The sequence below is a fragment of the Homo sapiens genome, chromosome 3 (genome assembly GCF_000001405.40).
Source record: "Homo sapiens chromosome 3, GRCh38.p14 Primary Assembly".
Taxonomy (NCBI): Eukaryota; Metazoa; Chordata; class Mammalia; order Primates; family Hominidae; genus Homo; species Homo sapiens.
Genome location: NC_000003.12, coordinates 120,430,171 through 120,452,539, shown reverse-complemented (window position 1 = coordinate 120,452,539; position 22,369 = coordinate 120,430,171). Strand labels below are relative to the sequence as shown.

The window sequence follows — 22,369 nt, the reverse complement described above, 5'->3', positions numbered from 1 at the left end:
AAGTCTGACTCCTGTTGCTATCTCAGTGGATTCTGAACTTACATGGGGACCATGGGTATTATCTTGAAGCCCCCTAAAGCCACAACAGTGGGCACTCAACAAACCTTGGCAGCAGAGTGAGTATGACAAGTTCAGAGGACAACGAGGAGATGGGCCTGCTTTGAGCGGAGGAAGTATGCTGATGTAGTTGAAGAGAAGTTAGATGGACAGGGTGGGCCCAGTAATGCAGGGCTTATAAGAAAGGCAGAGTTTGGATTTGATGTGGGTAGAAGAACGCTGAAGTTTCTGAGTAGAGGAAGAACATGAACACGAGGAAGACAATGTTTAAAATAAGGGAAAGAATATGACAATGGATTGCAGTGGAGACTACAGGGGAGAGCCTGGAGTCAGAGGACAACGAAAGGAGGTTTCCAGAATTTCTGAGTGAGGGAGGATGAAGGTCTGGCCTAGGAAAGTGGACATGTGAACGGAGGCGAGGGGATGCATATGAGATCTCAGCGGCTAAACTGCCAGGCTATGGGTACAAGCCGGCTCTGAGAAAAGGAGATAGGTTTGAAGGCAACCACCCTGAAAGAGGTAGATAAGCAGGCCCTGAAGCTGGGGGAAGTGAGGCTTAGTCTTGGGCATGTGAAATCTGAGTTGCTAAGTGGATCTGCTCTCCTTACTAGTTATGGCAGGAAAGGCGCCTTAATTAGGAGCATTTTAGGGAGTTAACCCTGTCAAAGAGGTAGCACACTTTCGAAGGCCAAGGGCTGGGAAGAAGGTGGTGAAGATGGCAATCCTGAACACAGAGGCTACTTGGGATGACAGGGATGGGAGGAGGGACACAGGTGATGAGTGAGTGGGCGGAAGAGAGGAGGGGGACACCGCTCCCCGGCCCGAGGGAAGGAGGGGATGAGGCTGCCGGCAAACGCTGGACTCAGGATCTTCCCAGCAGAGCAGGGCGGCCGCCACCTCACCCGGGACAATGCACTGTAGAACCCACAGCAGCCTTCCCCACGCCGGCCGGTCTTCCCGGCCCTGCGCCCACTTCCCGGTGCCCCGCTGCCCTGCTGCCGTGACCCCGGGATGCGGGGTCTCCTCTGCCTCCCTGGGCCTCCCCCTTCAGCCATGGGGGGCGGCTCCGCTTCCTAGGCCGCGGGACGTCTTTTCCTCCAGGTTCCAGTCCCGGACCTTCCCGGGCCCCCCACGGCACCGCCCACCTGGCCACCGCCGCAGCCCGCCCGGGCCGCCGCCAGCCAGCAGCCCCTCCCGGGGTGGGGTTTCCCTTCCCCCTACCCCTTTGTGGCAGGGACCCACGGGACACCCCCTCTGCCTCCGCTCCACGTCCAGGGGGCCGAAGGGGCGCCGGACGAGGGACCGTGCGGAGAGAGGGGTTCGGCGGCGCCAGGACTCCCGCGGGCTCCCCGGAGCAGGGGTCGGAAGGAGGGGGAGCGGGAGCCGCGGGGGCCGCTGCAGCAGAAGGGGGAGGAGAATGGGGAGGAGCTGGGGGGGCAGGCAGGCGGGGAAGGAGAGGTCTTAAGGGGCGGCGAGGGGAGGTCGCATTTCCTCCGAGGCTGGCGATCGGCGGAGCTCCCACCTCCGCTTACAGCTCGCTGCCGCCGTCCTGCCCCGCGCCCCCAGGAGACCTGGACCAGACCACGGTGAGCGCAGGGCGCACGGCGCGGAGGCCGGACTCTTCGGGCGGCCGGGGGTGCTTGGGCGGCCGGAGCGAGCCTGCGGGACCCGAGCAAGTTTCCCAGGTCAGCGCGGGGCCCGGCGCCTTCAGACTCGCTCTCTTCTCTCTTCCGCAGATGTGGAAACGCTGGCTCGCGCTCGCGCTCGCGCTGGTGGCGGTCGCCTGGGTCCGCGCCGAGGTAGGCGAGGGGCCGAGGAGTCCGAACTCGGTCCCCGGGGCCTCTTGGGTCTGCGCGCTGGGCGGGTGGGCGCGCGTCCTGGGGATGCTCTCCCGGGGTGGCGCTGGGAGTTTCGGTCCTTGGGGTGTGCTGGGGTGGAGCTGGGGCAGTAATGCTGCTTACGAAACTTAAATCTTTAAAGCAGGAAAAGTAGTTCGGGCCGTAAGCGGGAGCCCCGCCGCGGCTAACATGGAGGGAGAGCGGGGAGGAGGAGAGGGGACGGGCTGGGCCGACGGGGACGAGGCGGCGACTGGAGCAGCAGCGAGTTCAAAAAGGCGCCTCAGTTCCGTCCTTCACTTCAGAGGAGACTGAGAGTAGTTGGGGACTTTTCCCTCCCAAGTCTGTCTCCTGGGGGCGGGGGCAGAGGAATCGGGATTCTTCTTTTGGGGCAAAATTAATTTTCCTTTCTCTCTTTTAAAGTGAGATCATGATTCTCTGAAATGTATTTTCTTCTTTGTGAAGTGTCCTCGGGTTTTGTGTTATCATCTGGGCAATGTAACGGCCTTTTCCCAAGTGTTCCCTGTAACGTTGCGCAAGTGTAAGAGAAGATCCATTGCTCTGCTCTTTGGGGGCTCGAGTTTCCAGTTAAAGCATTTCAGCGCTTGTTTTTTTGTACCAATTTTTTCAACTCTAACGACCTTCCTGAGACACTACAAACAAACCAACAAACTCTTTGCTCAGAAGCCGCTCCATTAACTCAAAGGTTTATGGACAGAAAATAAACAATTCTAAATTCCCCGGGCTCCAGTCTCCAGGAAAGTGAGGTCAGAAACTAAACATTTGATAATTATGGCAGGAAATATGGAAGGAATTAAAAAGCATGAGGGAGAAGAAATGGAATGCACATTACAAAAGAAATAGCTCCCTGGTGGGTGGTTTATGCTCCCTGTTTGAATTTTTTCCTTCATATTACAGTTTAACCACACCCTTAGCATCGCAGCTTGACTCTGCCCAAAAAAGTCATAAATGCATACAAGGTCTTCACAATTTTTAAAAAATACGCATTGTACTGAATTCTCATTTAATTCACTACTACGTTGTTGATTGAGGTGGAAACTCAATCAACTGTTTTTACTGCCAATGAAATAAAAGTAGCTAATATTTATTAAATATCTGCTATGTTGTAATAAAATTCCATTTTAATGACAGATAAATTGAGTCAGCGAAGGTTACCCAATGCTCTCAGCTATTAAATGCTAAGGGTGGGATTTGAACCCAAACAGTCTGGCTCCGGACCCAAGGCTCTTGACCATTAACCCACACCACTTCCAAGCACAATGGTTTAACATTTACCAAGTACATTTTTGTTTACCACACACTGGGCTGTGTACGTTACCTGCAGTTACTTCTTTTAAAGCTCCCAAACCCTGTAATGTAGGTTTTATTATCCCGATTTTACAGAGGAAGAAACAGGTTTAAGGAGATTAGGTAACTTGCCCAGGGTCATACAACTAGTTAGCTCTGAAGCAGGATCTGAACCTACCTCTCTTACCTTTGGAGCCCATCTTGAACTCCAGGTCTGCTTCTTATCCATCTGGTTTTCCAGGGTTTGCATTTGAGAGCGTATCCCCCTTCACTGGCTGATGTAGCCCTGGTTAAGAAACATTTCTCCATCCCCTGCTGTGGCCCTCAAAAGGCAGTTGCAGACCAGTGATGGATGAGGTGAATCCCTGGTTGGTTTTCCAGCAGGCTCAAGAATTGCCAGCCAGTGTGTGAAATCACTCAGTGAACTGGAATGCAAATATGAGGTGTGAGGAGGCTGTTGGTTGACTTACCAGGCTGTGTGGCCCAAGGTCTGGAATCTATTCTAGGCGGCCTGCAAGACACACACCCCTCCCAACCCCCTTCCACACAGGGAAAACTTATCCCTGGTAGGAAGTTCCCCCAGCAGCAATTTCCTGCTGGAGGTAGAAGAGCATCCAGTGCTCTCACATAATTCCCAGGCAAACTACAGGGAAGAAGGCAAAATAGAGAAGTACTGAGATGTGAAAACAGAGTGCGTTGGGGGAGAAAAGAGGCTGTGAACTCACAGTGTATGGAAATGGTTACAATGAAAAGAGTGAGGGGTAGGTATGAGCTAGGTTACATTTCATGGCTCCAGGTTATTAAGGATTATTATCTTTTAATTATTCCAACCTCCTGGTGCCTGGCCAAGTAAGATTTGGCAAGTTTTTAATCCATTTAATAATAATATACCTTTAACAATTGATGAAGAGGTACATTAACCCTCTCCCTATGGGAATTGTAATTTGGATTTTTTAAAAGCCTTTTATCTTGTAGTTAATGGTGCTTGCTGTTTAAATTTCTTCCTTGTTAACTCTAAGGACAGTCTGCAAAAATGGTCACATCATGATATTTACAGTCCTTAGTGACAATCTATTTTAGTAAACTTCAAATCGCTAAAATTGTACAAATATTGTTGAACTTTTTAGAAATGAAATTTAGAAAATAAATTGAGGCTTCTTGGTGCTTTCTGCTTTTCTGCGACCATAAATATTTAATTCAGCATATTTTTAAACAATTTAATCACTTTACAAATCATGTTGATATTTGAAGAAGCCAGAGCCTCTGTAGTAAACCAGAATCAGAGGTGCTCTCCACTTGGGAAAAGGTGATTGTCATCAGTATTAATGCCAGTCTATGTCAATCCCATTTGGTTAGATTCACAAAGCTATTAACAAAAGTCATAAAGGAGCCTGGGCTCAGTGGCTCATGCCTGTAATCCCAGCACTTTGGGAGGCCAAGACGGGAGGACTGCTTGAGCCCAGGAATTTGAGACCAGCCTGGGCAACATCGTGAGACCATATCTCTACAAAAAATAAGAAAATTACCTGGGCATGGTAGCACACACGCCTCTGGTCCCAGCTACTCAGGAGGCTGAAGCAGGAAAATCACTTGAACCCAGGAGGTTGAGGCTGCAGTGAGCCGTGATGGTGCCACTGCACTCCAGCCTGAGCAACAGAGTGAAACCTTGTATTTAAAAAAATAGAAACAAACTCATTAAGCAAAGTGTCATATTGTTTTGAATGTGTTCCATGGTGTCCTACTTCCTTGGCACCTCAGGGTTGCTTTCTGATTGCTTCTTCTCTTTCTTACCTGCTCACTCTCTTACTACTCTGTCTGCAGCATATACCTTCAGCCAGCCTCCCTCCAGATTCTGCCACATCCACCTGAGCACACACACCCATGCACTCTGTAGTCTGCTTGAAAGAAGGTACTGGGTGTAGCATATGTCTCTAGATGTGTGTAGATTAACATGTGAATGGACTAGGCAGAGAGGGCAGCAGCAGAGGGAGTGCCTGCACTAATAATTACACAGATATCCCTTTTCTAGATTCTCTGGGGAGAGGACTGTGTGAGCCTGCTCATCTACTCTTTCCCATCCCCCTCCCATTGGGAATTACTACAGTTCATTGAGAAGTGTTGATGGTGGATGCATAGTATGGAGCCTGGGAAAATGTTAAGAACACAGGCGGTAGTGTGTGTGCCCTTGAAGCTCAGTCAGTGGATATCTGTCACTCTAACATGGCAGGCTGGAGAGAACCCTGTGGCCCAACTGCCTGCTTTAGGAAGACAGCCCTGGCAAGTACCCAAGCATACCCCCACTCTCCCTTGGTGGATGTCTCTGCTGTCACTATGATTCCCAGCATTCCAGGTCTAGAAATTCATTATGATAAGTCACATGTACAGTTAACTGATTTGTAGTTCAGAATCCTCATTCCAGTAAGGGATCCATGCTTGACCCATGAACTTTGAGTGTATTACCTAAGAGAGAACAATAGCAATTCTACAAATAGATGTACTTCACTTAGCTCTAGACATGCAATACTAGAAGATTATGAGGGCTTTGTCCTGAGGCCACGTTTCTTAACCTCACCGTACCCTATTATCGGCATTGTACACTAGGGGTTATATTTGGGAGCTCCTCTATGTTCTTTAGAATTGTTCTGATGGTAGACTCAAGTAAGCCTTGCATCTAACCCATATCTCTGACTGCATCTTCTTGGTGCCACAACTTGTATTATTAACAAAGCTAAAAAGATCTCTAAAATGATCTCTTGCTTGTTTATCCTTTGGCAAATAAGCTACTTGTTGCAGTTCTAAAGACCATTGCTGGAAATTGGGGTGTAAAACATAGCAGGGGCTGTGCAGACTAGCCAGAACAGAAGGGCAAGCACCCAGCATAGGAGGCCCTGGCCATCGCAAGTGGCTTTAGAAGGTGGACACGTTACAGTTCCCCTAGAAGTCTCTGGATTGGGTGACAGAAACCAGGACTCCATCCCCAGGCTCATAGAAGCAAGTTGGAGAGGAACCATGAGGTGAAGATCTGGTCATGGGCTGAAGTGGATGTAATGATCCGAGAGGAAATGCCCCAAAGACGAAAAGAAAGTCTTTGAAGTCAGTGGGGCAGAGCAACACATGCTGCCACAAGAATAGGAAGTAAAGGATGAGCTGTAAATTACCAGTGATCACATATGAGAATTGAAAATGTCATGGATTCTTTGTCTTAGTCCTCTTCAAATAACTGGACATCTGGCAGAATGTTTCTAACAGACATAAATTTTATTAGCTTAATGATACCAGTTAATAGGGAAAAAAAGTACATTAGATAGGTTCACTTTGTAAGCCAGATGATTAATGTCCTCAGAGGGCAAATGCATACTTTTTGTTTAGGATGCTCTATTCTGACTCCTGCGATTTTGGCAAGGGGTGCTTTCTCTGAGAGTATGCCATGAATGGCGTGGCCTTCCCTTCACTGTCCTCATCGAGCCTATCCCCTGCTGCAGCTGAGCGCACCTGGTACTCAGGTCAGAGTCACAGTGAAGCACAAGGCATGGTCTCTGCCCTCACATTATTTACAGTCTAGTGGTGGGTCCAGGTGCTTTAAATCGTGGCAGCTACAGTTTATATTATTATAACTACATAGTAACTAGTAGCTTTATACTTATTGCTGTTTTTTTTTTAATTTACATTAATGTAGGGCCTTCCTTTGTAAGATCCTTTTATGGTAGCAAAATGCACAAATCTTCCATGTATAGCTTCATGAACTTTTACATCTGGCCCATGTAGGCACCATGCGACAAGACTGAGGGAGTTAGTACAGAAAGGTATGAACCTGTATGTTACCATGAAGTTACATACAGGAAAAGTTACCATGAAGAAAATGAGGGATAGGGATGATCTAGGGTACATTTCATGACTCTCTGCCCAAAGATGGCTATCTTTTAATCTGTCTCTTCTCTTGGTGTCTAGCCCAGGTAACATTTAGCAAGTTTTTAATCCATGTTTTAACAACAGCAAACCTTCAATAATTAATGAAAGATAAATTAATCCTCTCTATATGAGACTTACTATTTGGATGTTATTTTTAACATTTTAACTTGTTAACAATAAATGGCTTTCCTTGTTAGCTACAAGGATGTGCAGCAAACACAGTGAAATACAGCCTTAATTGACATTAATCCATTTTAGTAAACTTTAGATCTGCTTTGGGGAGCTTTCTTGACTGTTTTGTGGATGGATAGATATTCCAGGGCTCACTGTAATCTATATTGAATTCCACAAAGAACTCAAATCATTCTGTTAGACCACTTTGCCCTGGTCATTATTACTTTTGAAAGGACTCTACATAAGATGTCAGTCATGTTATTTATGACAGCAAAAAACTTAACATTGACTACATAGTCAACCGTAGGAGAAGGGTTAAATAAATCATGGAACAGCTGTATGTGCCACCAAAAGCATTTACAAAAACATTTTGAAGCGCCGGCAAATGATTATAATTTAATTTAAAAAGCACACACCCCCCAGCTTTATTCTCACGACTGTAAAAATTTATAGAAAAGTACAACAAACAAATGTGTTAGAAATTATCTGTAGGTAGTGGATTTATGGGTCATTTTATTCTTTGCTCTAGTCTTTTCTATATTCTCTAAGCTTTTAATTGGCATATTTTATTTTCATATTTTATCAGAAAATAACACATTAACTTTTTTATTTAAATAAAATACCACATATTAGGAGAAGGGAAAATTCCTCTCGAAAAAAGGAGGGGATCACAAGAATCGTCACGATGTCAAGGCACTGGATGAAATATCCAAGGGGCAGGACTTCAGGGATTGCTTAAGGAGAAAAAGGTGGGGTGGTAAATGGCCTTTCAGAGATGGCACAGACGTGGCATACATATTACCATTACCCTCTCCCTTACCCATGACAGACATTTCTAATCAATCATAGAATTCTTTCCTACTGAACTTGGAGAAGGTTTGAAAATCCTACTCAGCAATATTCTAGGTAGCCACTAGCAATCAGAGTCTATATGAGATGAAAGCTATTTACCATCCCTGCTGGATGGTAAATCAGTCCAATTTGACAAACATTGACACATCTTTAGCCAAAATTAAGATAATTAGAAGACAGAGTTTGGGACTGTATGAAACTGACAAAAACAACATAGGGTAATAGATGATAGAACTGGGTTAGCAAATGGATGAAATGTCAGGAAAATAGCACTTACACCAGATTTTGGCCCAAGTTTCTAAGCTCTTTGGATGAATCTGAACACCTTAAAGTAAGCCAGACCTTCTAACATTGGCCCAGTCAACAAAAATATAACGAGAATTTTCTTGGCTATTCTGATGAAGTAAACAGTTGCTCTTGCTAAAGTTCTAAGAGCTGCTGCTGTCATAGATAACAGCTTTTGCATTAGCCTGGCAATAACTTGCTAATAGAATGCTCTTTGGGTAGTTGGAGTACAAAATAATTCCCATAAATCTTCATTTCCTGCTTTGGTTGGAGGATTTCCATTTAATCTTTTCACAGACTTTAGATGCTCATTTGGAAGCCATCACCAATAAACTATTCCCAGGATTAGTCTGAATGTATGACCCCCATATGTCCCTTGAATAATCCTGGACACCATTTGTGACCAACTAAGCTGTTGACAAACAGGTCATATGATACATGACAAAAGCTATCACATGTTGCAGGCCCAGATTTATATGTGCATGCATGTGTGCATGTGTGTGTGTGTGTCATGGGATATTGGCTTGAATTGATGTAAGGAAAACGTCTCTCTGTCTTTCTATACTTTTTGTTGTTTCAAGATTTAAAATCCTATGTCTGAGGCAAAATTTGTCTTTTCCCCTGTCTTTCCTCTTATCCTTCAATGACAGTTAATAAGTGTAATTTATGGATCTACAGAAGTGTCAGGCATTATGCTAGTCAGTTTGCACATAAGCTACTATTAGGAAGAGTGTGGGACTAAAAAGCCTTACCATACAGATCCCTGTTCTGAAGGAGCTGCTACCACCATCGCTGCTTGGCCATTAGGGGTCAGATGTAAGGCTTTAGCAGAAATTCCCCTTCCTCACCTCTTGGCACTACTTCAGAAAATCCTGAAACATGGCAGTGGGATAGATGGCCCCTGCCTTCTCAGAATTTGAAAGACTCCACTTGGGCAGCTGGGGCCCTTTTCAGCCTGTCCACCTAATCAGTATGTCCAGTAGATGGCAGCTTTTTGTGTGGAACTTTTTTTTTTAATTTATTATTATTATACTTTAAGTTTTAGGGTACATGTGCACAGTGTGCAGGTTAGTTACATATGTATACATGTGCCATGCTGGTGCACTGCACCCACTAACTCGTCATCTAGCCTTAGGTGTATCTCCCAATGCTATCCCTCCCCCCTCCCCCCACCCCACAACAGTCCCCAGAGTGTGATGTTCCCCTTCACTTTATCTTACCTTGTGACCGTTCTGGGGGTCTGCTGTTTTTCTCTTCCCATTTTTCTTTGTCTTTTCTTGTTCTCATTTCTGGGTGTCTCCAAGTCTGCTTTTTTTTTTTTTTTTTTTTTTCTTTTTTGAGATGGAGTCCGCTCTGTCACCCAGGCTGGAGCACAGTGGTGCGATCTCGGCTCACTGCAACCTCCTCTGCCTCCTGGGTTCAAGTGATTCTCCTGCCTCAGCCTCCTGAGTAGCTGGGATTACAAGCGCCTGCCACCACACCCGGCTAATTTTTGTGTTTTTAGTAGAGATGGGGTTTCACCTAGTTGGCCAGGCTGGTCTGGAACTCCCACCCTCAAGTGATCCACCCGCCTCAGCCTCCCAAAGTGCTGGGATTAGAGGCGTGAGCCACGATGCCAGGCCTAACTCTGTCTTTTTCATAGACTCTGTAACAAACCCATTTTGTTATTAAGAGCAACGCTGTAGAACAATGAAAGAGTCCAACTTAGAAGTCCTGCTGTGCCCTTTTCTGGGCACCTTTTTAAAGTCACATAATGTCTCTAACTTGTATCTTCAGTTAAGAGCGAGGGCTTTGGGGCAGTGGACTGAGTTTGAATTCTGGCCTTGTCCAGCTGTGAGGCCTTGTGCAAGTTACTTAACCTCCCCGAAGTCACTTTCCTTACCAGTAGAATGGGAATCATTCCTGTGTCTCTACCTGTCTACTCGATTAGATCTTGGAAAAGGTCTCCTCTACTCATGGTGTATAGTCAACACCAAAAACAAATACCTGCAAGAGATGAAGGGTCGCTTATGTTTTTGACTCTGTAATGATTTCACCAGGAGAATCCTCAGTATACAAGTAAACATCCACTAGGCATGGTCTTTATTTGCACAGCCTTTGTGCTGGCTCAGGTTGTTACTCTGATTACTGATTTTTCCTCGAGAGGAAGTATAACATAATGGCTTAGCGCTCAGACCTGGAAGCTAGATTAAATCCTAGCACTGCCCTTACTAGCCATGTGATCTTGGGAAAACTACTTAAAACCTCTCTGAGCCTGTTTCCCCATCTCTAAAACGGGCTTAATCCAGAGTATCTACCCCATAGGTTGGTTGTGAGAATTAAATAAGCTCTTACATGTAAAGCAGAGTGTTTTGGCACACAGTGTGCAGTGTTAGTTGGTATTATCATCTTCAGGGCATCTCTAGGGGACGAACTCCAAAAGCCATGGGTGCGTGTGTGTGTGTGTACATGTGTGTACACACGTGTGTTTGCACACACATTCACGCACGTGTATATGTGTGTTCATGGCATACAGAAGTCTCCTTGCTTCTTTTTCTCTCTCCAGAGATTTAATTATCACCTTCTTTTTTAAAGAGAAAACTAGGATATTTACTTCAGTGGATGCTTTAAGGCCCAGAATTTATATCAGAACCCTTGCTTCTACTGAGCTAATCTTGCCCTTAAACTTCTATGTAGTGTTTCTTCTGTGAAGCCACAGTTCTATCATTCCTCCAGGAAGAGATTGAAGTACTCATGGAGCATCTCCTGTGCAGAGGCAGTAGGATGGGAAGCCAGCATAGGTTCTCCCTAAAGGTAGAGTGAGTGAATGGAAATAACTGGGAAGAAAACAGAAAGAAAAGGCAAAAAAAGAGGTATGTATGAAGGTGGCAAACAGATATCTTGGGTGGTCATTTCCATTTTGCTGTGGTCTTCATAGCATGGCCTGTTACCAGGCAATAAATTTCAAATTGTTGGTGTGGAAAATGTGATAATGCAAAGGAATAGGATCCTTTGCTTTCATTATTTCAAAAATAAGTGCCAATTACTCTCAAAGACAGGGTAAGAAGTATTCCTGGAGCAAGCTGGAATTTGTCCCTTTGGGAGCCAAGGCCACAGCTTCTGGTACTTTGCACACAGACCTGCAGTCCCACTAGGGAGGGGCTGCTGTGTCTGCAGCCAGGCCGATGCCAGCCTCACATGCCCACCCCTTCCTGGCCCTGGAGCCAGCTCTCTGTACCACTCCTTATGTTGCTCTTTGCTCTTCCCTTCATCTTTCTCCTCTATTTTCCTTCTCTCACCATTACAGAGAGGTCATCCTGAAGTGTCTGGGCTGCAGTAGGAGCTGCCAAACATTCACGAACCACCACGTTCACATTAGATGCAGAGATAAAACTGCACAAAGTCTCAATACACTATTTTGCATCACTCATCTGGGACAAAGTAAAATTTTTCAAAGTCAACTCAAAAGAGGAAAACAAAAGGTATTGCAAATCTGTTCTCTGTTAGGCACTGAGTTAGTGCTGGTGGATAAGAGACCTTGTGCCCAAAGAGCTTGCAGTCCGGAGGGGAGGCAGACAGGAACACAGGCTCAAAGTGATGCAATGTGAGAAGTATTGGGACAGGGCTGAAAACCTAACCCAGCACGAAGGGCTCAGGAGCGCTTCCAGGAGGAAGTGACCCACCAGCTGAGCTCTGAAAAATGACTGATAGTCACTGTGTCTTGTGGAAGTTTGAAAACCAAAGACACTTCTGCTAGGTAACATCCACTCAGCATTGTAGAGACCCAGCCGTTTAACTTTCCAGGTAACATCAGTTGTTATATGGCTATGTGCCTGGAATGACACTTCAGACTTGGCCATTCTGGCCACATAGACATGGCAGGCATGACCTCCATTTGGAATTAGGTCCATTTACTTCTGAGTCACATTGGAATGCAGTTTTTACAGTGGAGCATTTGCAGCCTAATGATCAGTGACTTAGGAGTTTTGGGGGTTTTTTTTTGTACCAGTTGTTTTGTTTTGTTTTTTGACACAGGATCTTGCTCTGTTGCCCGGGCTGGAGAGCAGTGACACAATCTTAGCTCACTGCAGCCTCTACATCCTGGCTTAAGCAATCCTTCCACCTCAGCCTCCAGAGTAGCTGGGACTACAGGCATGTGCCATCAGGCCCAGCTAATTTTTGTGTTTTTAGTGGAGACAGGGTTTCACCTTGTTGCCCATGCTGGTCTCTAACTCCTGGGCTTAGGCGATCCTCCCTCCTCAGCCTCCCAAAGTGCTAGCATTACAGTCGTGAGCCACAGTGCCCAGCCTTGGGGGATGTTTTAAGGCAATTTCTTTGTTCTTCAGATGTATTCACAACTGTTCCGCATTAAATAAGGCCAAATGGCAAGACAGCTCTAAAACGCCAGCAGAGTTGCTAGGTAGGGTTGTACAGACTGTTCACTGCACAAGTGTGTCATGTACCTGTGTGTGGCACAGGGCTTGTCTGCCCACCCACAGGAAGGAGCACATTTTTTTCTAACTGATGTGCAAAGCTCCCCAAACCCAACGTTATCTCTGAGTCATGTGATGTTTATTAGACTATGGCAGTCATTTCTACATTTGTGCATCTTATAAGTTGATTTCATTTAGACTCTTGCAAAGTTTTTGTACTAGGCCTCCATCAAAAGCCAGTTCTGTGTTTTTGTGGATTTTCCTCATAGATAAGCAGAGATGATAGACATGGAAATCTTAAATATCTGGTTTCTTGTACCCACAGTGTGCTACTTTGGGCTGTTGCACAAGTCAGTCTAGTTTGGGAACTGTGATTCCCCAGGAATTAAAACAAGTATTCCCAGCTTCCTTCTGATTGCTGGATTAGCAGAATTTCCTCAGCCTCCAGCTGAATTCCAGCCCCTGGGAAGAAATGTCTTAGAGTAAACCCCCAGCCTGGAGCCTGTCAGAGGTTGTGTCATGTGTTTGCATTAGCTGAGCAAAACCCGAGCAGGCTTTCCGGCCTTGCTCTCGCCTCCTCCCTGCACGCCTCTCCGCTGGGAGAGGCCAGTTAAAGTCTAGACACTGTCTGCTTGGCTCTGTGCCTTTTTAGCACAATCTGCATGGTTCTGTAGCTCTTACTTTGGTTGTCTGTCCTCACTCGTTTCCCCAGTTTTCTTAGTTAGGCTTAAACTGTCCCGGGGGACTGGCAACGAGTCGCACACATAGGAAACAGGTGAGTGAATTTATGAGACTGTCAGGATTCAGCTGCCTTGAAAGGTTCAGAGTGAAGATAGCAGCAGTGCTGACTGAAACTGTGGCTGAGTTTACAGACATCCCTGGTGTGAGCTGGCTTCAAACGAACCTCCATTTACTGGCCAGAGATGGGCTGGGATGAATAACTCAGGACAGACAGTGGCACCCCAGGTAATGAGCAGCCACCTGACTCCTCATCTGCCAAATATGGGGGTTAGAGTAGGTGGGCTCTAAAATGCAGCTTTGAAGTCCTATTCATATAAAAGGAGGCGGATATTCTAGGCTAGACTGTCAAAATATTCTACTTAATGGAATTGGGATATTTGATTAACTCTTATGGTGATTTACAGCCTAGTGAAGAACAGTTTGAAAGATAGGCTGGCTCAAGAATGAGAAAACAGAGTGAATAAAAACAGGAGGCATCTTGTGTCCTTTACTTTCTCTCGCCATGTAGTGAGTGGAATATAAACAGTACGGCATGTGGCACCTGAACAGTCTTCATGCCCAGGAATCCCAAATGCTGTTTACTCTACAGAAAGGAATCACTTGATTTTCCACTTCAGAAGCCAACCGCTCAACAACACTGGGGAAGAAATGAAGAATCCTGGGTCTCCTTGTAGTCGATCAAGAAATTTTGGGGGGAAAAAGGGAAGACAACCCCTAATTCAGAGTGTGCAGTTTGGGATTTATTGAACTTACTTGAAAAACAAAAGCAAACAAAACTTTTTCTCGCTTCTGTAAATGTTCACATTTTCTTTTAAAAATAATGATGCAGTATTGCAAATGGCTTACAGAAATAGTTGTCTGAAACTATTGCGTGGACCCTAATTTTGTTTTCTGGAATCCTTCTTATTACTTTCTCATCATGTTGCCTGGCCCATGATCAGGATCCAGGGGCTCCTGAACAAGTATTAATGAATTGCCTGCCCTGCTCCCCTGGCCCTGATCTCTGGTCAGATCAGGCTCTTACTACAGCCCATGGGCACTGGTCTTTGGCTTTGACCCAATGGTTAAATCAAGTGACTTGTTAGGGTGAACACAGTAAGGAAACAGAGGCCAATGCAGATGTTTTAGTCCTGCTGAAATGCTTGGTACCTTGCCTGTACTCCAGTTCCCGAATCTCACTAGAAAATCCCAATGTGCTAAATCGTGCTATTGATCCTGACTGGGGAGCCAGCCAGCTCAATATTGGAGGTGGCTTTTCTAGTAAGGGTACAGTACAGGTTAGAATTGAATTAAATTTTGCTGTGCCCCAGGGTAGACTATATGTGTGTGTGTGTGTGTGCATGGATATGTGTCTGTGTACATACAGAATACACAAGGAGACATGCACACACACACACAAATAGACACTGACTTAAATTTCACCACTAGGAGAACATGGCCATCTCCCTATAGCTCTAATAGTGAGACTTTTCTCACAAAAATTCCTGTGGAATTTGTTTTGTTTTAATTTAGTTTAGTGTTTGACTTATGTTATACTGCCCTGATTTCTTTCTAAGCCTAGGCACATAAACCAGTGCTTATTTTTATGGTGTGAAGTTTGCCTGTTAATGAATTTAATAAGTGCATGTCATTCATTCACTCATTCCCTACCATATTCCAAAAATAAGACATAGGTTTTCCCTCCCTAATCCCACAGCCAACATATCCTATTAGCTTCTGTAAGGGTTGGGCTAATTACATGTATTTTTAGCTATTGAGAGGGCCCAAGTTTGTAGTTTGTGGCATAACATTTGTGACAGAGAAAAAGAAAATGGACGGGACCTCAAAGATGGTCCGAGAAATTTCTGATCCCCTTCACACATATACCTGGCTCACCTAAACTGTAGTGTGAAATTGATACAGTGGAATTTCTATCAGAGAGGCTAAACACTATTGAAACAGAAATACAGATGCTCACCCTGAGCAAAGACTCAGACATACTGAGTTCCCTTTACTGTCAGGGTCCCTACCAGGAGGGCCCAGCATGGCTTCTTGGTGGCCCAGCCGAGCTCACAAAACTTGCTTTGGGATGGAGGCAGATGTATGCTTGCCAGTCATTCACAAATACTCGGAGCACGCAGCTTCGCTTCTCCCAGGGCACCACCATCCCTGGTTTTGCACTATGTGCTATAATTATGGTGCTACAGGGACAGGCTGAGTCCTATATCAGAAGCAGGAAATTCACCTGGCTTCTCCCTAGAGTCCCAGCAGTCTTTCAGGAATGTGTCTGTTTGTGCTTTGTTCCCCTTCCTCTAGTTTTCCCTCCTTGACATTTTCTATTTTCTTTCCTTTCTTATCCTATGTGGCCTTGGTCTTGCTGACAGCCACATGCAGAGATGCAGATTTTCTGGTTTAGCTATTTATTTTAAGGAGAAAGACATTCACTTTATGCATTAATTGGTGTCTGCCTCCTGTTCCACAGAAGGGTAATTTTCTGTGTGGCACCAAGGGCTTGATAGTGATCAAAGAAAACCCCAGTTCCCAGTAGGAACACACTTCAGGTGTGAGTCCATTTTGGGTTTCTCAATCTCCTTTCTTGGGAGATGAAACTAGAAGGGAGAATGGGACTGGGAAATGTTTTGAGTAGAGGCCAGACATTCAAGTCTTGGCTAAATGTTGGGTATAATAATTTCAGTACTCACTGCAGACTTATTTCTTAATAAAACTCCCCAAGCTACTTGTGGACCATGTTGTTTTAAAGGATAGTTACAAAGTTAACCGCTTCCTCTTACAGATACAATTGGAGAAGAGTCTTTGTGTTTTTTCATTTTCTACAAAGGAACATATATAAGCTAGATAATAAGAAACCATGTTGGGGTTGTTTTTGTTTATTACGTGTCCTATTTTAGATACTTTTTTTTTTTTACAAAAATAAACTGTGATAGGGATATGAAATCCTGTAAAAACAACCAGCGCTTGAGGATGACTACCCCACTATGTTGGTCATTTTACAGCTTAGGTAATTGCGTTTTTCCTCCAAATTCCCCATACACATTTGATCAAATAGAAGTCTCTTCATTTCCTGTTTAAGTTGCTCCATGGAATTGCTGTGTGGATTAGAGAGCAAGCTGGGTTCCTCCCCAGTGGCTGTGTTTCCGTTGGTTGATTGGGTTATTTTCCAGGTAATGCTATAATTATTTTGCCCAGTGTAAATGGCATTGTCGTGTAGTGACTGAAATTACTCATGTTACAGTGGCCTGGAATGTAAAGACTTCCTCATTCTCCAGTGATTTGTTGTTTGACTCTGACTCCAGGAAAAAGTCTTTTCTCTGCCTAGGCTGAAGTGTGTGCATGTATTTGGGGCTCAGATAGATAGCTGAGGCTCTAGACTGCCAGTCTGTGGGCTCAGATGTGACAGTAGCCATATTCAGAAAGTCATGACAGTCTCTGAGAAAGAGACAAAAGTTAGGAATTGTAAGCCTAAGAGTGTTCAAAGCATGTAATGAACTGTCCCCAAATGGTTCTTGTCCTAGAAGTGGGTAGAACAAATAAGGAGGAGGAAAATAGTGATGAGGAAGACTGGAAGAAGGGAGGTGGTGATGCACGTGGGAAACTCTGTTAATTTTAGTGGGTTAAGCAAATGCAGATGAGGCAATTGAGTGAAGAATTTCTGTTAAGTGCTTCATGAGAAAATACTGTGAGTGAACACTGCAGATGTATATGATCAGAAAAGATATATCACTGTTTTTTGTTTGTTTGTTTTTGTTTTGAGACAGAGTCTCGCTCTGTCGCCCAGACTGGAGTGTAGTGGCAGGATCTCGGCTCACTGCAACCTCTGCCTCCTGGATTAAAGCAATTCTCGTGCCTCAGCCTCCCAAGTAGCTGGGATTACAGGTGCCTGCAACCACGCCCGGCTAATTTTTGTATTTTTGGTAGAGATGGGGTTTCACCATGTTGGCCAGGCTGGTCTTGAACTCCTGACCTCATGTGAGCTCCCTGACTCAACCTCCCAATGTGCTGGGATTATAGGCATGAGCCACCGTGCCTGGCTGTTTTTTGTAAGTAAATGTATGCTCTGTAAGCACAACTCACAAATGATAATTAAAGCTGTAAATTAAAATGGCACCTGTACATAGTGTGTGGCAAGGGAGATGATGTCTACAAAGGTGCCTCCCACAAGGTAAGTACTCAATAAATAGTAGTTGCTATTGTTCTCCTTGTTGTTATGGCTTGAATTCCAAGGAACGGTAATAACACCATAGGGAGAGACATGAAGAGCCTAGACCCAAAGTGTGTAGTGAGTGAAGTCCATATATGTGCTGGGTTAAATGGTTTTTTAGTTAGAGGATGTTCCAGAGTTTTACAAAGTTCGTGTGCGTTTATGACTCTAGAAGGAAGTATAATAAGTAATGTTTCCCAAACATTTTACCACAGAACACCATTTCAAAAAAGGCCATAAATATTTCAAGGCTAGTGTTCCATGGACAGACTTCCCATGAACAGGATCTATTTATATGTGACCCCAGGTCTTAGTGGCCTTGCTGAACTCACCTCATAAACTAAGTTTCCTCAGGAAGGCAAGGGACTTGTCTGGACCCAGAGCCTGTCTCAGAGAAGATCCTCTTGGTAGTGACTCTAGAATGGACCATCAGCATGGCCATGTGCACACCTACCCAGAACTGGCTGGGCTTTTGGATATCAACTTATGTACCCAGGAATTTTCTCTTTTATTTTTCACTTTCTCTGTTCATACCCAGTCTATCAGCAAGTCCTGCCTTCTGTACTGTCAGAATGTATCACCTCTCCATTGACTGTCCTCTGTCCCCACCGCCACCACCCTAGCCAAGCTGCCATCATTGTGCCTGGACTATTGCAATAGCACCTAGCTGCTCTCCGCTTTCTCTCTCCTGCGACCTGGCTCTTTCTGTACAGGACAGCCTGAGTAATCTTTGTAAAACACATATCTGATCATGCCACTCCCTGAGCAAAACCCCCCAGTGACATCCATTGCATTAAGAATAAAATACAGACTTATCAGTACCTTTAAAACCCTACATGCTCTACCCCTTGCCAGCTTTTCCCAGCTTACCTCTTGCTGCTCTGGCTTTTGGACCCAGTGCTATGGCTACACTGGCCTTTTCTCTGTTCCAGGAATGTAACAAATTCCACCCTGCTTCAGAACCTTTGCACTTTTCTACTTTCGTCTGAATTGCTCTCATCCTTCAGGTCCCAGCTCAAGAAAGCATTCCCTGACCACTCAATCTAAGTGGTGCCCTCTCTCCCAGAGTTCTGTCATACATACTCTATTTTCCTCTAAACTTACTGATCACAGGCTGAAATGAACTTGTTATTTTTGTTTGTTTATTCACCTTCCTCCCTCTAGAGCATGTACTCCTTTAGAATAGGGCTTTGTCTCTCTCATTCTGCAATGGATCTCTAATACCTAGAACCAGTTGTGCTTAGTGTATAGTAGATGCTTAGTAAATATTTTTTGAATTAATCCACTAGCTAAATGGATTAATAAGGCCAAATGTCTCATATGTAATACGAAGAGGTGCCTACAATCTTTGTATCTTAATGATAGTCATCTCTGTGCCGTATTTTGCAAGAATGTTGTGCATCTGGGAAGATGGTTGACAGCACTTGCCCGTCAACAGTTTGCTTAATCTTGGACATGATAGTAGTGCTGGGCTTGCTTAATCAGACACCTGGATTCTAAGTCTCTCAGTCCCAGGTGAAGTTGGAAGTTAAGCAGAGGCTAGCTGAATAGTAAATATTTTTATTGTTTCCTTCCATGATCAGCAATTTTAATATAACTTGGCACCATTCCCAGAGGAAGCTAATGTCCCAAAGAATATGAAATAAAGCATTAAATTCTGTTGTTGGTAATTCTTTGCCCATAGTCACTAGTCACCTTTGTCTTTGGACCTCACCTTTTGCTGAAGCCTTTACTTTTTTGGATCCTTCCTGCTGTTACTCTTTCTCTCTGGTTTCATTTGAATGGCAACTGTGATGTTTCCAGTATGGATAAAACAAAGCAAAAGGCATTCAGTGTCACTGGATTTGCACATTAAGATCTCAGAGGCGAAGTCTCATTCTGGGGAACGTTCCACCGCTAACACAGTGGACAGCATTGAGTGAAGTCCCTGGGGGCCAACCACCTCCACTTACCTGTGGCCTTAACTCCTTAAGTCAGAGTTCCCGGACTTACCATAGCATACTACTTCATTTTTCAGTGGAGTTGGGAGTTCCTCAGGGTGACCCCAAACAGTTAAATATGTGGCATTTCTCCAGTGTTTACACAGTTAAAATGAAGGATACCAGAGCTGTGAGAACAATATTGTTACATGATACTTGGAAGTGTTTTTACCACAAATGATAATCTATCCATAGCAACTAAGCTAGTACATTTTTGTGTAGAGTTTCTAATGCAGTCCTTGGGGAAAAACAGAATGAACAAAAAAGGAGGTCTTTGTGCATTGTGTACAGCTTGAGGGTCTCGGAGGGTTTTAATTTCTGAAAAAATAGGGGGGAATTTGTTGCAGCGGAACGGAATACCTGGCAGTCCCTCATTGGTGGGCCTCCTGTCAGCCAAGGCCTGATTGGCCAGCATAAGTAGGTTTTACAGCTCCTTCCCCCCAGCTGTGACATCCCAACTGCTTCAAGGAAAGAATGCAAGGCAGGAATGTCTCAAGAAGAATAGAATGTGCATGTTTTCATTGACTTTAATCTCAAGGCACTGAAACTGTGTTTGTGTGTGTGTAATATTGAAAGCTGGCAGTAAGAGAGTGTAGCAGTCAAGCCAAGAAAATGTTTTAAAAAGGTTTTGAAAAGATATATCTATCTCATTGCCAAATTTGTCCATGGATTTGTATGCCCCCAAAAAAGCATATTTAGCTAAGAGAAGGCTCCAAATATGTACAGCTTAATTAGCCCTTTTGTCATTGTTTCTGAGCTGAGCCATAAAAAGTCTTACAGAGAGGAAGTACCAAACATTTTACCTTTCTTATAGAGGAGACCAGAAGGGTGAAATGACTTGTCCACAGGCATTGAAAACAGCCAGAATTCAGCCTAAGTGCCCATGACGCCTGCCTATTTTTGAAGGACTAGGTCCTCATTACTCAGTATCCTGGTCCCAGATGCAGCCTGACATGCTGCCTTGCCTGTATGTTCAGATAATCTCTATTGACTTCAGTTATACACCACTTGAAAAGTATTCCAAGTTAAAGAAGGTCGTCCTCTTTCTCCTCAAACCCTCCTCCTCCGATGCAGTGAGGTCAGAACTCAGAACTATTTTTATTTCCTTTTTTCTCTTTTTCTTTTTTTTTTAAGAGACAGGATCTTGCTATATTGCCCAGGCTGGTCTCAAACTCCTGGCCTCAAGGAATCGTCTCGCCTTGGCCTCCCAAAGTGCTGGGATAACAGGCGTGAGCCACCGCATCCAGCCATAACTGTTTAGAACTGTGCTGTTCAATGCCGATAGCTACTAGCTGCAGTGGCTATTGAGCACTTGAAACGTGGCTAGTCCAATTTAGATGTACTGTAAGTGTAAAAGACATACCAGATTCCAAAGACTTAGTATGAAAAAAGTCTAAAATATCTCCATATTATTGATTACATGTTGAGATGGTAATATTTTGGATATATTTTCTTAAAATAAGTGATTACACTTAATTTCACCTTATTTCTTTTGAGTTTTTAAAAGGTACCTTCCAGAGGCCGGGTGCGGTGGCTCACAACTATAATCCCAGCACTTTGGGAGACCGAGGTGGTGGATCACTTGAGGTCCGGAGTTCAAGAACAGCCTGGCCAACATGGTGAAACCCTGTCTCTACTAAAAACACAAAAATTGTCCGGGCATGGTGGCAGGCACCTATAATCCCAGGTACTCAGCAGATTGAGGAAGGAGAATTGCTTGAACCCAGGAGGCGGAGTTTGCAGTGAGCTGAGATCATGCCACTGCACTCCAGCATGGGCAATAGATTGAGACTTCGTCTCAAAAAAAAATGTACCTACTAGAAAATTTTAAATTCTGTATGAGATGGGTATTCTATTTCTGTTGGACAGCACTGCTCTAGACAGTTGTCACTTAACCATAGCCACACATTGTCTTGAGTTATCTCTTATTAGATTGTGTTGTTCTGTTATTTAAAATTGCATATATTCATTCCCCTAGCTTCTCACCTAAGCTACAAGCTCCTTAGAGACACAGAGTGTGCTTTACTCCTCCTTGAGCCCCTGGCACTTGGCATGATGTTTGGTATGTTTTTGATTGTCCTGTATATTACTTATAGATTTCATCTATTTCCATGTTAGATATTGATAAGGAAATGCAGATTAATTTGTGTTTGGATTGTTGCTTTTCTTTTCAAAGGAACTGATTTTATGTAGTTCTTAGTTTGTTCCACAAAGATTAACATTCCTCTAAACTGGACTATTAAAATCCAGGGGACCTGTAGAGGGTGCCAGAACTTCCTGACACCCATGCCTAGTAGAGAACAATGGTGTTAAAATTGATGCTTACAGGTTTTAAGGAGCCCCTCCTGACCACCCCAGAAATCTTGAGAAGTTCCAAACTCAGCTCAGAAACTTGTGCTCTACTTTTCAGGACCTGTCTGAGTAATAGGTGCAATAAATTAGGCATGTTGGCCCAGGGACTCCCAGCCTTAAACCAGGGTTGAGAAGAGGGTCACCACCAGCCTGAGTCAATGAGTAACTGTCAGGAACTCCTACCAGATGGCTGTGATTCCCAAAGTCTCTGAGAAAATTCTAGGAGACGCACTCTGGGTGGGCCTTACCCTTTAAACATCCTGCAAT

General features: G+C 44.5%; 1 protein-coding gene and 1 long non-coding RNA gene across 2 annotated transcripts in view; both read left to right on the top strand.

Moving 5' to 3' along the window:
- The first annotated feature begins 1,547 nt into the window (after positions 1-1,547).
- Positions 1,548-22,369, top strand: part of FSTL1 (follistatin like 1) — a 58,700-nt gene continuing 37,878 nt past the window's right edge. Inside the window, exons 1-2 of the mRNA NM_007085.5 lie at positions 1,548-1,643; positions 1,794-1,856. Of these exons, the coding sequence (NP_009016.1) occupies positions 1,794-1,856 (63 nt within the window). The 5' untranslated portion in view covers positions 1,548-1,643. The remainder of the gene's footprint in view (positions 1,644-1,793; positions 1,857-22,369) is intronic.
- Positions 1,886-22,369, top strand: part of LOC124900546 (uncharacterized) — a 33,418-nt gene continuing 12,934 nt past the window's right edge. The window contains exon 1 of the long non-coding RNA XR_007096030.1: positions 1,886-21,812. This is a non-coding gene — a long non-coding RNA (uncharacterized LOC124900546). The remainder of the gene's footprint in view (positions 21,813-22,369) is intronic.